Raw genomic sequence first — 14,389 nt, forward strand, 5'->3', positions numbered from 1 at the left:
GAGTTGAGGAAGAGAGAGAAGGTGGTTCTGCAGAATCTGGCTTAAAGAACCAGGTGCAGTGGCAGGGTCAGTCATGGAGTTAGGACCCTAGGAAAGGAACAGTCTGGGGGAAAAGGCTGAGTTTAGTTTATAGGTGCTCCTGCCTACAGACCTGTCCCAGGGCAAAGGACTGGGGATGCACCAAGAGGAGGGGATAAGGAGAGCCAGGGAACCAATCACCCATCAAGCAGATGATAGCATACTATTCCCATGCCATGAGTCCATCAGGTTGCTTTCCTTTCCTCTGCTACTCCTTCAACTCTAGATCTTCCCTGAGTATCAACTCTGGTAGTAAATGATGGAGTAGATAAGAGGAAGAAAAGCAGTTTACTGTCACAGCCGGTACCTAGAAAGTGACTTGGAATTGTTCTAGAGTGTTTCCAAACCTAGAAGTCCTTTACAATCATTTAGGGAATGGTTCAAAAATACCTAATGTAAATGACGAGTTAATGGGTGCAGTACACCAACATTGCACATGTATACATATGTAACAAACCTGCACATTGTGCACATGTACCCTAGAACTTTAAGTATAATAAAAATATATATATATAAAAAAACAAAAATACACTTTCTAGAACCTGTCTTATACCACTTGCATGAGAATCTTTGAAGCTAGATCCTAGAAATATTTTTTAACAGAATCCCCAACTGTTTTTTTTTTCGTAATAAGGCCTGATTGGTATTAGTAACTGTAAGAGGGCCAAGGCATGAAACTTGTGCAGTTGCATGGGGCTTTAAGTTCCAAAGGGCCCCGTTGCTTGGTTTAATGCTCTGTGTCACTGTCTTGAAATTCTTAATACTTTTATCTTTGAACTGTGTTTTGAAAGTGAAGTCCATGAAGCAACAAACATGAGTGGTAACAGAGGAGACCCATAAATACAATATGCATGTTTGCTCTTTCACATGTAAGGCTTGTGATATCCCACAAGAACAAAGTTCCCACAGTACTGGGAGTTCAGTGATAACGCAAAATGAGTACAAGGTAAATATATTATGTTTAATGACTAAGTGGGGGATCTGACAGCCCCAAGAGGCCATGCTCCATTTGGGCCAGAACTTACTTCAAATGCAGGAAGAAGGGAGTGGTGGTCTAAGAAACATGAATCATCAAGGAACCCTATTATTTCATCATTACTCCTACTACTTTTCTGTATTAGCTAATTATTTACACTGAAAATGATGATAGAGAAGAAAACAGAAAGAGAGGGAAGTCCACAATTCCTTTTCCTCTCACTCCTACCTTACTCATCAGTAGCCAAAGGTCGAGAGTGTTGATAGAATGTGTGTATATCAAGAACTGAAATAAAGACAGTTAACTTAGATTTGTGTAGTGTTTCTGGTGTTCTGTTAAGAAGGAAGTACATATGCATGCACAAGCTTTGAAAGATCAATTGAGTAATTTTGGTGATTTTGCATGTGCATTAAATACTTTTCTATTTGCCTTTTAAAGTGGCGTTGCACAATATAAAAATGAATGGTAAATTTTAATATTTTAATTTTTTAACTTAGAATGACATAAATGCAAATAAAAGACATTATGGTGACTTTCTAAGTTAAGCTTAGTCATTCTAAGCTTATTCTTACTCATTCTAAGTCATTATAATGTTGAGAGATCAGTGAAGAAAGAAAAATGCTTTATATTTTAGTACCTTTAACGGCATTTCTCCCTGCTTTTTGAACAAGGGAGTTTGCCTTTTTATTCTGCAATGGGTCCCACAAATTATGTAGCTGTCTCTCCTTGGTGTCATCATAAAACAAATCAGGAAAGAACAAAATGAAAATGAGACCTTCCTGAACATTTGAGGCCGCTTAGAGCCTTTGTATGTAGATGAGACCTGAAACCTGTCAGGGCAGTATGTGTGGGGTGATGCTGATGCACACATGGATGTCTGAAAGCGATGTGGCTGCTAGGTGGTGGAGTCTGAGTCTGAAGACAGCCTGGTTCCAGAGCCTGTGCTCTTAAACACTGTCCATGCAGCAGAGAAGGAGAAACAAGTCTGACTGTGGTTGTGCCCCTCTCTCCCACCTTCAGCACTCCCTTCCCAAATGCTTCTCTCTGGGAAATAAGAAGGGATAATAATATCTCTTCAGATTATTCTAAGGATTAAGTGAGATTTAATGTGTAAGCATTAGCCCACTGCCAACCTAGCACATAGTAGGTACTCAATAAATGCATATTTCTTTCCTCTTCTCAGTAACTCTGGCCTGACCATAACTTTGTGTACCTTATTTCATTCCCCCATTTTATAAAGTCTGGGAAGCAGGCATTCCTGGCTCCTAGTTAGCCTCTTGGGTCGGGAACAGAAGTAGTACAATTTTTCTTTCTTGTTTTTTTGTTTGTTTGTTTTTGCTATAGCCCAAATTGCTTCAGTGCATTACTTTGATCCAACTAAAAAATTTTGGAGGATCAAACATGGAGGTGAAATGAAATGACTTGAAGGCATCATTTTTAAACATCTATTTATGTCTTATGTCACTTTCCTGGAATTTCTTGTAATGGGACGTTCTTGGCTTAACAGCCCATAATAACATAAGCAATGGCATATTCAAACAACCACCAATGCTATAGAATTATTTCATTCTCAAATTCAGCTTTCTATAAAACATTGTTCTATGAGTAGCTTTGGGAAATATATGAGCAATTTATATTTTTATATTTGTCAAGTCACAAAGCAACAGGTGATAATCCACATTTGTATTGCCATGTAGAAATGTTTAGCAATTGACATGGTGAGAGTTTTTTCATGAAAAGAATTGGAACCAAGCTCATTTGGTATGCAGAACACAAACCCACAGTGAATCTTAATGAAATCAGCCCTAGGAAGATTTTTAGACAAGGCAAGAGATACTTGTTGGATATTGCTTCAGAGCTGGTGCTAAGAAGAAAGGACTTAGAGAGATTATGTTGTGCAAGTAGTAAAAAGAGGAGGAAGGAAACAATAGGAAGTGACTCTACATGAATAGTAGTTAAGCATATCAAGATCTGGGAAGTGAATAAAAATCCTTTTAGAATGCACAGGAAAAAAAACTGGATCTCTCTTTGGCTAGAAAGAAAAGTCATAACAACTCCATCAGCACCATTAAGCAGTGAGTTTCAAAGTAAGTATGTTGTGGCAAGCCATGCTTAGCATTATAACAGCAACTCATAAGATTGGTTAGAGCAAATCTCATGGGGCAACAAGATGAGATGCTGTGGTCAGAATACCATCTGGCCTCATAATGCACCAAGAATAGTGATTTATTAATGGAAGCAAGGATTTAGTCTAGGTGAAGAAGTGGATGGTGGCATTGTTAGGGATGGGAATGATGATAAAACATGGAAACAAGGTAAAGGATGCTGCTATGAATATTCTGAAAGAAAAGAGCAAAGTAGTTGAGACAAGAGTGTCAGGACATTCTAAGCAGTCTCAGATGGGTTTTAAAAGTTTGATGCAGAAGGTATGGGTGGTAGTGATAGTAACAGATCTTAAATATATACAACCTTGGGAGCAAATATGAAAAAATGTTTTTGTCACAAGCCTATAATTATAGTTAAGCTTATGGTATTTTTTCCCTAAATTACTTAGGTCTGCTTGCAGGATTTTTCCGTAGGTGGTTTGATTTTAAACCTAAAGGTTTTACTATTTATACTGGTAGTTCTCCAACCTGGCTGAACCTTGTCAGCACAGCCTCTGATTTAATTTGCATGTATGAACGAGAAGGGGAAATCTATTATATAGGAAGGAGGAAAAGAATCAAAGGTTTCAGAGAGTAAGCCCAGGAGAAACTGTGCAAGTCAGCTTGACCTGAAGGAAAAAGAGAGAAACATAACAAGGAGAGAAAATTGTCAGAACTGTGCGGCAACCCTGAGTGCCTTATGGTAATCATTATGAAATTCTCATGAGAAAAAAAACATGCCCATGAAGTAACTGTAATTAGAAGTGGTCTAATTAGTTCCACCTTGAAGGATGGCCTGGACAAGAGTAGCTAGTGGTTCAAGCCATGGATTCATTAATGAAACCCTCAAAGGAAGCATAAAACTCATTTATTAAAGATGTAATTCAAGTCTGTGCTTTGGAGAGACTTTCGAGGCACACCCGTCCTGCTGTTTCTCCTACTGATTCTCACTAATCATTGTGTGTTGTAAGTTATGAAGTGGTACATGCTTGTGTTCTCACTTGATGTGCTTAGGGCGTACCCCAGAAATTAGAACTACTTGTCTGGAAGTGGCAGAAGCTCACTCTCAAGTTCTTTACATAAGGGTTCACAATGGTTTAGAAGCTGTTCCTCGGATTGTTCTGAAGGGGCATATTGGGACTCTAAAACATTTATATAGACAGTGCTGTGAGATCCATGTGTATTTCAGCATATTCCAGTTAATGCAAAGGTTAATATTGTGACTTTTAACATCATAGAAACATGGTAATCCTCATTCAGATGATCCAACAGTCTTTTAATTCCAATAGATTAAATTTCCTAAAGTATTTCATTTAGAAGGAAAGACTTAATAGTAAAGGAATAATAGTTGTAATTTGTTATTTCTTCAAACTATTATTCTAATATGGTAAAATAGTATCATTTATTAAATTTAATTTATTCCTCTAAATATGATAATGTACTTTGCAGAGTTCAGCAAAGTCCCAAGTAGTACAAGGACATGAGCGTGTAATCTTGGACATTTTGCTAATTTAAGTTTTGGCTGCTCACTTCCAGTTATCTCACTCTTTTGAAAAAACTGGTAAAGATAACACCTCATAGGATTGTCTCTAGGAATAACTTCAAGTGTTTTAAAAGATATTTCCAAATGGATTAAGAAATTCTAAGTGACAAGTAAATTTTCCTTCTCCCTTCTTCCTTTCCTGTCAAGGCTGAAAGAGAAAATGTAAGAGGAGCCACAACGATGGTGCTGTGGTTCTCCCACCAAATGAATATTGCTTACAGAATGGCGCTTGATTACTGGTGGGAGTTCCCATCTGGAGGAATGTTTTGTGAAGATATTTTTGCAGCCATATTTGATTATAGTTCTAGGGCTTGTAATGCCTTTTGATTTCTGAAAGAAGGAAACGATCTTTTGATTAAATATTCTTAATATAACAAAATAATGATTCTGCGACAGAGACACCCAGATGAACCTAATTGAGTTTCAGTTGTCTTTTCAACTGGCTATGAGAGGGTATATTCAGTTTTTAGGAAGAAAGTGAAATTAGATATGAATGAAAAGTTAAATAAGTGTGAAAGGTCTTAGGAAAATTATAGAAGTTTATGCAATTAGAATCAAAACTAAAGTAAAACAAAAAATATATATCTAGGTCGATACGTGAGAAACAAGACCCAAACGAGTGAAAGTCCTTACTGCCGGAACAAGATGTATCGAGTGATATAGGATTCTAGACATTTGAGCCATTTTTATCCCATATTCAGTTACAGTCTCTACTTTAGGGGATGCTAAACTAAAATTAAGATGACTAAAGATTTTGGATTAACTCTTAAAGAGCATATAGTCTCTTTTTATCTTAGACCTGTATAGCTCCTGTTCATAGTGGCAAACTTTTGGCTTCCTGTTCTGTTGATGGGACTATTCAGTTATGGATATTCTAGGGTTTTGAGAGCATTAGAACCATGTACAGCCATGACCATGATGTTTCATCATTAGCCATTGAGCACAATGGATACAATATAGTGTCTACCTCATGGGATTAAAACCATTAAAATGTAGGCAATGTAGACTGGCTCTTTTTGTGGCCAAATTAATATGGTGTCCTGACTTCCATCTGTGCTAGTGAACAGACAGTGTGGAAGGGTTGATAGGAACAACAAATCCAGTGCTATGCTCAGAGAATATGAAAATGTGATAAAATGCATTTCTTGGGGCTACATATGGCCCACATTTTTATATCTCTTGAGCAAAAGGAGGTGAGACTAGAAAAAGTGGCAAATCTGTATCTCTCTTGCTGTCAGAGATGAGACTGTGAAAATAAGGGATGTAAGCACCAGTTTGTGGGTAAACTTAAATTTCCACAAGATGAAACCACATGGGCTTACTGCAAGTATAGTGTTCCCCTGTGAAATCAAGGTTACCCACTTTGAACCATCCTTAAGTGTATATTCCCTCTTCAGAAATACATTTGAAAAAAAGATGGGGGAAGATTTGCAAGTATCTGTATATCTTTGTCATTTCTAACCCTGTTTGAATACTAGTCACATGTGACAATTTTTATGTGTTTCTCAGTCAGTCGGGAAAGTGAATAGCTTAACTTCTTTTTAAACTATTTTAAAAGACTCAAATAATTTAAAACAGACAATTTTGACATTATAGTACAGGATATTTGATTCCATGAAAACCAAGATTTGATAATTTGAGGTTCTCAGGAAGAAAATTCTCATGATTTCTAGTCTTCCTGGTGTGATTACAGAATAAAATAATGAGCATTTTTCTGTTATAAAAAATTGAATATAGGCATACACTGTCAGTTTTGTTTATAAAATACCTCAGTGCTGTGCAATTGAACTATGTGTTACATTAGGGAATTGGCCATAGCCTGCTCTCATTCATCAGGCATCTTCCTTCTGCCTGATCCCTACCAGGGCTCTCTGAAGAACAGGCTGAGCTGATTGCTTCTGTGACACTCCCTGCTTCAATTTTCTTTTTCTGTTCTGTAGGGTGACATTCATTTCATTTTTTTTCCACAGGAAAATAATCAAGCTATATTTATGCACTCTTATTTCTGTTACAGTTTATAACTAAGGGCTTGAAGCAAACAAGAAATTATTTGGCAGAAAATATGAGGCAACCTTTCATAATTACCACAGCATAGAAGATCTACATGCTGGTGACTGACAGCTATGTGCATAAAGTGCTTAGGTGCATAGATCAAATTTCCAGGAAGTCAAATATATTTCTTCTAAAATATATATATATATGTATATGTGTATATATATATATGTATATGTGTGTATATATATATATATATATATATATATATATATAATTTTTTTTTTTGAGACAGTTTCACTCTTGTCACCCAGCTGGAGTGCAATGGCACGATCTCAGCTTACCACAACCTCCGCCTCCCGGGTTCAAGTGATTCTCCTGCCTCAGCCTCCTGAGTAGCTGGGATTACAGGTGCCTGCCACCACACCCAGCTAATTTTTGTATTATTAGTAGAGACAGGGTCTTGCCATGTTGGCCAGGGTGGTCTTGAACTCCTGACCTCGGGTGATCCACCCGCCTTGGCCTCCCAAAGTGCTGGGATTACAGACATGAGCCACCGTGCCCGGCTCCTAAATTTTTTTTATTACTGTATTATATAATTTTAATACAAACTACAGTTGAGATTTTAACTTATATTTCAATGATTCAAACAGTGCTACATGTTTCCCCTCCCCCTTCATTTAGATCAGATCCTAACTTCTTCACTACAATCCGAATCAATCAATGCCTACACAGCATTATTAGCTAACTAGGATAGCCTCTGTCCACAGAGAGACTTTCAGTTAGTGAAATAATAAATAAACATGTAATTATTGATTTTTCACCAACTATCCAGCACAGGAATGATGCAGCTGGGAATCCAAAAGAAATGGAAAGAATTTATGATTAATCTTGTTGAGGGACAAGATTAAGATTATGAAATTGCTGCTATTCTAATGCTTTGATTTATGAAAATGGTACCTTCATATAATTCAAAGCAGTGATTGTAAATGACAAAACAGTATTTAATTAGATACCAAATTATAGGATAAAACCACAAGTGCTATGTAGGCTTTGTGTAGGTAGAATATAAGAGATCCAAGTTTGTCAGAGAACATTACATGAATGAGTAGGTACTGGGAGAGGTAAAGAGGACTAGGGCAGGAATTCCAGGCAAGAGGAAGCTTGACGGTGGACTGAACGAGAGCGATGGATCTCAGGTAGCATGAACTGGTTGTTTATGCACTGTTGGAGTCGAGAAGCTGAGCCTGGGCGGGGGAGAATGGAACAGCAAATATCAGCTGGGCTGCTGTAGCACTAATTGTGGAGGATTGCTCAAAGTGAAAGGGAAGGATGAGAAACACATTGGAGGATGTGTTCTGTTCTCTGACGGTTCTCACTGGATGAGATTTCTACTTTCTGACTTCCACGTTTTCTATCACTTACGTATATCTTTGCATTCAGTGCTATTTATATTCCAGATACGTATTAGACATTGTGATAGAGGTTGTGTGTGCCAGACATGGTTCCTGGTTTAGTGTTGTTAATTAACAAAACTTTAAGTACCTGTGTTTTGCTTTTCTAAATTGATTGTAAGTTTTACCACATCAGGGACCATGCATTTTTATATTCATTCTTTAAAAAACTGTTGAGTATTTATATGTGACAGCCACTATTGATATAAAAGGAATGTAGTGGTTCTGGTTTGCAAGATATCCAGATAGTTTTTAAAAGGTATGAGAATTGTTACCAATGAACTGCAGTGAGATTAATTGTTAAATTTTTCTGGAAGAGGCTGGGCGCGGAGTGGCTCACGCCTGTAATCCCAGCACTTTGGGCGGCTGAGGTGGGTGGATCACCTGAGGTCAGGAGTTCATGACCAGCCTGACCAACATGATGAAACCGCGTCTCTATTAAAAATACAAAAAAACCTAGCTGGGCGTGGTGGTGGGTGCCTGTAATCCCAGCTACTCAGAAGGCTGAGGCAGGAGAATCACTTGAACCTGGCAGATGGAGGTTGCAGTAAGCCAAGATCCTGCCACTGAACTCCAGCCTGGGTGACAGAGCGAGACTCCGTCTCAAAAAACAAACAAAAATTTCTGGAAGAGTTAAAGACTCAAAGAAGAATGATCTTTTGAGTTGAGACTTAAAGGGCAGTGTTTTGGAGGCATGCCTATGAAGCATGGGTGGCTCAGGAAGGTGGAACAGCCTGCACAGAAGTGGGGGACACAGTCACATGACACAGGATGTACACATGTGCTAATATTGCCAAGTATGGGGTGGAATGAAACCAAAGGAGATTGTGCAAATGGGTAGGGGCTTGATAAGTGTCTTTGTATATTATGCAGAGGAGCTTAGGTGGTATGCTATGATGAAACATGTTGATTAGCTAAGAAATGTTTGGACTTGTATGTTAGAACCATCCCATGTAACAAAGAGGAGAATAGAGGGGAAGAAGGACATGACTGAGCGGAGAGACTAGAAATGAGGCTATTGCTATTGCAATAGTGTGTGACAGAGAAGCCAGGAGCAATGAGAATAGAAAGAAGGAGAAAAAAACAAAAAGTAACTGGAAAGTAAAATGGAGAGATCTTGTGTTTCATAGAACATGGGGGATGAAATGGAGAGAGACCAGGACCTCGTCTGTCTTGTTAATAACTGCTTCCCCAGCACCTAAAAGAAGGCCTTATCTAGGTGCCCAACCAATATTTGTCCAAATGAATGAAAGGGAAAAATTGAGATGATTCCTGGGTTTCTGGCTGAAGCAGAATGTTTATAACAGTTACCAACAGAAGGGATACAGGAGGGGAAGTCATGTATTCATCTGTGGACTACTGTGGGATATATAGGGTGGGTTCTAGAAGAGCCAGTCTCTAAGATGTACATTACAAGAGAGTGGAGGGCAGGAAAGGAAGAGAAGCTAATGAAGAAAACACCAAATATGACTGCAGAAGCATAGGAAGAGGCTTAGGTTAGGTAAAAATCATAAGTCAAAGGGACATTTTCATGATGAAGTGTTTGACAGGATATTTCCAGAGAGCTCAATGGTGGTGGCAGTATTTGGTGGCAGTATTTGCAAAATGAGTGTTCAGCTTTGAAAGACTCAGAGAAGACTATCATCAGTGTTGTCCCCTTGCTTTTTTATGGACATATCAGAAATTAGAGGTTGGCTTACTCAAGTTATTTTATAAACTCTGGGACTTTGTGCATCTCTTCACCTGAGGAAGATAAAGGCAGCATATGGTATGGTGATTTTTATAGTAACAACCAATATGTAGGTTAAAGATCAATATTACTAGGCAATAACATCTAAATGTATATGTACTACTATAATAACATTGACTTGGGTCATTTCTTCTATAGAATAGATAATTGTAAATTGTATGGTTAATAATAACGATATGTTTTAAAAGACTCACTTCTTTAATTCATAGCTTTATGCTATATAAATTGATGAATAATCCCTATATATGATATTATGGCCAATAATTACATACCTTAGTCCATACTTGCATGTGGTCTAATTTAGCTGGCTCCTGGAGATTTTCAGTAGTTGCCTTCAAATATTACTTGCATAAGGAGGGGAAGAGGAGGGAGAGCATTAGGACAAATACCTAATGCATGCGGGGCTTAAAACCTAGATGACAGATTGATAGATGCAGCAAACTACCATGGCACATGTATACCTATGTAACAAACCTGCACGTTCTGCACATGCATCCCAGAACTTAAAGTAAAATTAAAAAAAAAAACAAATATTAGTTGCATAAAAAGCACCTAAGATTCTTGATAAAATTTTATTTTATTTTATTCTAATTTTTGATTCAAGAAGGCCTGGGAACTAGAGTTTTAACAAGCACATTCATGTTATTTTAATATATGTGTGAAGAGCTCTTATTTGGAGAAACTCTATCTTAAATCATTACACAATATGTATATATTCAATATACATGATTCAATATATTGTATATTGAAACATCACGTTATACCCCATAAATATGTACAATTATTGTGTCCATTTAAAGAAAAAGCTCTTTAGTATGATTTGTATTTTTCAGCTGGTCTTCTTGCTCCCTCATGTGGTGCAATGTGCAACTGTATGTTTTAGAGCTCTCATTTTCAGTTTTTAGAAAATGAACTTCACAGTTTATCAATCTGTTATCTAACCTTTATTTAACCATGCAATAAACCTATAAATGCAAATGTAGAATTAGCATTAATTCCTCTGCATACAAAGCAAAATACTAGAGAGGACTAGAAAATGTCACATGTAAGATTTCACAATTTAGAAATGAGGTGGCTAAAACATTGCTTTATATTTTTTATGTGTGTGTTAAAGATTTTGAAGGAGAATTTGGTAGATGCGTACTAAAGGGTTTTGGTGGCAGTATTTCAGTATCATGGTCCAGGTGTTTGTCTTTTGCTTGGGTTCTCCCTATTTGACTCTATCAGGATTTAGAATATCTGTTTTGAAACAAGACAGACCTAGGGTCTGCAATATTCATTTGAAGTTTTCATTTGCCAGGCTTTTTTTTTTTTCAAATCAGAAGGGTTTAATTGATAAATATATGATAAGTGGTGTGCAGAGTAAAGGGTTAGGAGTAGGAATTCTTTATTTCCCTTCCTGCGCTATAGTGGGCACATTCATAGATATTTATTAAAACCATTGGAGAGAAGCTTTGTGGGTGATACAGTGATAAATCACCATTTCTATAAGTGAGAAGAGAAATTTAGAACTTTGCAGCCAGCCAAAGCCTGTAACAAAGGCTCCACATCCTAATGCAGAACAGGCTGTCCATGCTCAGACAAAGGGGAATTGATGGAAGAGTTGCGAGGAGGGGAACCGCTGGGGAAATACTAATAGAGGACATAGCATTTGAACTGAGAATCCCTAAGAATGACCACTCTTTAGGAATCCTTGTGAAGCTCTGTTGTGGACTTATATCTCATGCAATTATTTGTTCTTATTGTGGTTATTTTATTCATTCATTAAATACTGATTATGGTCAGACACTGGGCTAAGCATGGGTGTATAAAGTTGAACAGGGCTGACTTGATCTCTTTCTATGTAAAGCTCCCATTCTGTTAGTGAAAACAGACAAGAAACAACTATATTAAAAATAAATAAAAGGATACTAAATTAAAGTAATGGCAATGAAGGAAGTAAATAAGAAGCTGAGGTAGAGAATAACTTGGATGGGGTGGGACAAGACTTACTTTGGTGAAGGTGGCTACAGAAGGCCCTTTTGAGAAAAGATACACTACCGTGTTTATTGAGTACAATGATTTTTTTTCTTTTTCTTTTTCTTGAGACAGAGTTTTGCTCTTGTTGCCCAGGCTGGAGTGCAACACTGCAATCTCGGCTCACTGCAACCTCCGCCTCCTGGGTTCAAGCGATTCTCATGCCTCAGCCTCCCAAGTAGCTAGGATTACAGGTGTGCACCACCATGCCTGGCTAATTTTGTATTTTTAGTAGAGACGGGGTTTCTCCATGTTGGTCAGGCTGCTCTCAAACTCCTGACCTCAGGTGATCCACCCACCTTGGCCTCCCAAAGTGCTGGGATTACAGGCGTGAGTCACCGCGCCTGGCCGAGTCCAACAATATTTTAAGAGCTTCCCATGTATTAAGTTCGTTATTCCTCACAACGCTGTAAGGAAATACACTGTTACTATACTCATTTGATAGGTTAGAAAATAGAGGCACAAAGACATTAAGTAACTTGACACATAATTTGCACATGGTGGAGACTGATTCATGTCTACATCACCAGTCTCTAGAGCCTGCTCCCTTGACCACTATGATAGCTATTTCCTGTCAAGGCTGAGGAAAAAGCATGCACCAAACCTCTGAGACAGGAAAGCACTTGGTGGTTAAGGCACTGGAAGAAGAGCTGTAGGAGAAAAGCACAGAGATAGTGAGAGTGGCCTGGTTGTGTTCAGAGATGCAGACTGGGATCTGATCCTGAAGGCCCTTTGAGAACATGATAAGGAGGTTTGGATTGCATTCTAAGTGCAGTAAAAAGCCACAGATGGGTTTTAAACAAGGTTCAGACATGATCTAATAAACCTTTTAAGAGGCTAACTCTTATTACAATGTGGATAATTAATTGCAGGCAGGAAATCAGTAGGGAGACCAGTCAGGAAGAGGTCATGAGGTTTCAGCATAGGGATGGGGAAGAGATTCAAACAAATTTTGGAGGTAGAATGAATAGTACTTTACATGATAGAGTACCCCATCCTAGCAGACATGGTGGGAGTCTGAAATACCACATTTCATTTGGGGTGTAGGCTCCTTTCAGACATATGCTGATACAGAAAAGAGTGTTTGGTATTAAGAGACAGTCACTGATTGAGTTGAAAAAAACAGAATATGTTATTTACCCTAGCACCGTAGAACCACTGACAGCTGAGAGAAAGGTCTTTTTCTGTTACAATATGTTGATCTCACAGATGAAAACACTGAACTCAGAGAAGTTAGGTGATTAATTGCTTAACTGTTGATTGCAGACTTAAAAGTAAAACATAGGTAATTTTCCTTGACTTAGCACATGCATAACTAGTTTCTACTTAAGAGAGACAAATGTAAGTTATAAGTTGATTTCCCACCAATTCCAGGGCACTAGAGTACTTTGTTACAGGCTGAGTACTTTCTTAATTTCTTGCTCCTTTAATTTAGAATGGTTTTCTTTGAGGGCAACAACCATTTCCATTTTATAACACATGGAAAAATGAGAATTTCCCTTCTCTCTTCAGACATGGAAACAGAAAGAAACAGAGGAAAGGACAAATCAATAAACTTACTTCCCATGTGACTTGGTCACCTTCCCTGTCCTCATGTTTGCCTGTAGGAATTTTTTCTTTTGATTATGAAAGGTAGCTGATATGGTTAGGTTTTGTGTTCCCACGCAAACCTCATCTTGAATTGTAATCCCCATAATCCCCAGGTGTCAAGGGAGAGACCAGGTGGAGGTAATTAAATCATGGGGGTGGTTTTCCTCATGCGTTCTCGTGATAGTGAGTGAGTTCTCAGGAGATCTGATGGTTTTATAAGGAGAAATTCTCCCCTTTACTAGGCACGTCTTCCTGCTGCCTTGTGAAGAAAGTACTCTGCTTCCTCTTCCCCTTCCACCATGCTTGTAAATTTCCGGAGGCCTCCCCAGCCATGCTGAACAGTGAGTCAATTAAACTTCTTTCCTTTGTAAATTACCCAGTCTCTGGCAGTTCTTTACAGCAGCATGAAAACTGACTAATACAGTAGCCCTGATGCAAAGTAGAGCTTCAGAAAGGATCAGGGAACTGCTAAGTACTTTGGACTACAGCGAACATGCTCAAGGCAGAAAACAGGAGGAGGCTGCATCTAGGCAAAGGTCTTTTTTTTACCACAGCCAATTAGAGTGTCCCTGAGGAATCTCTAAAGTATTCTTAAAGGAGCGAGGCAAGTCCTAGAGGGTTCAGTTAATCTTACCATGGCCTTTCTGTCCAGTAAAAAATATCAAGTTATTTTGCAGTGCTGAGTGGTTGTTTGCCAGCTGAAACTTCAGGTGGAATTCATAATGGAAGCTGATGTCTGAGATCCGTGAATAAGCCAGGAATGAGGTGTATCCAAAGGCATCTGTGCCACTGAACCTTGGCTGAGTAATATTAATAGCTGTGAAAAAACCCAAACCAAACAGTTAA

At 38.2% G+C, this 14,389-nt stretch overlaps 1 protein-coding gene and 1 pseudogene across 2 annotated transcripts in view, besides 1 other annotated feature; one reads left to right on the top strand and one right to left on the bottom strand.

Moving 5' to 3' along the window:
• The window catches only part of EYS (eyes shut homolog), a 1,987,247-nt gene that overhangs the window by 72,033 nt on the left and 1,900,825 nt on the right, over positions 1 to 14,389 (bottom strand). For both annotated transcript variants that reach the window (NM_001142800.2, NM_001292009.2), the window contains exon 37: positions 14,178 to 14,360. In NM_001142800.2, the coding sequence (NP_001136272.1) occupies positions 14,178 to 14,360 (183 nt within the window). The remainder of the gene's footprint in view (positions 1 to 14,177; positions 14,361 to 14,389) is intronic.
• LOC100422587 (platelet activating factor acetylhydrolase 1b regulatory subunit 1 pseudogene) lies at positions 5,071 to 6,119 on the top strand (annotated as a pseudogene).
• Positions 8,134 to 8,203: an enhancer, noted in NCBI's record as "active region_24723". NCBI's record gives its function as "activates an Ori minimal core promoter by ATAC-STARR-seq in GM12878 lymphoblastoid cells {active_cell/tissue: GM12878}" and the evidence as "EXISTENCE:reporter gene assay evidence [ECO:0000049][PMID:35858748]".

This window comes from Homo sapiens, chromosome 6, assembly GCF_000001405.40.
Source record: "Homo sapiens chromosome 6, GRCh38.p14 Primary Assembly".
Lineage (NCBI taxonomy): Eukaryota > Metazoa > Chordata > Mammalia > Primates > Hominidae > Homo > Homo sapiens.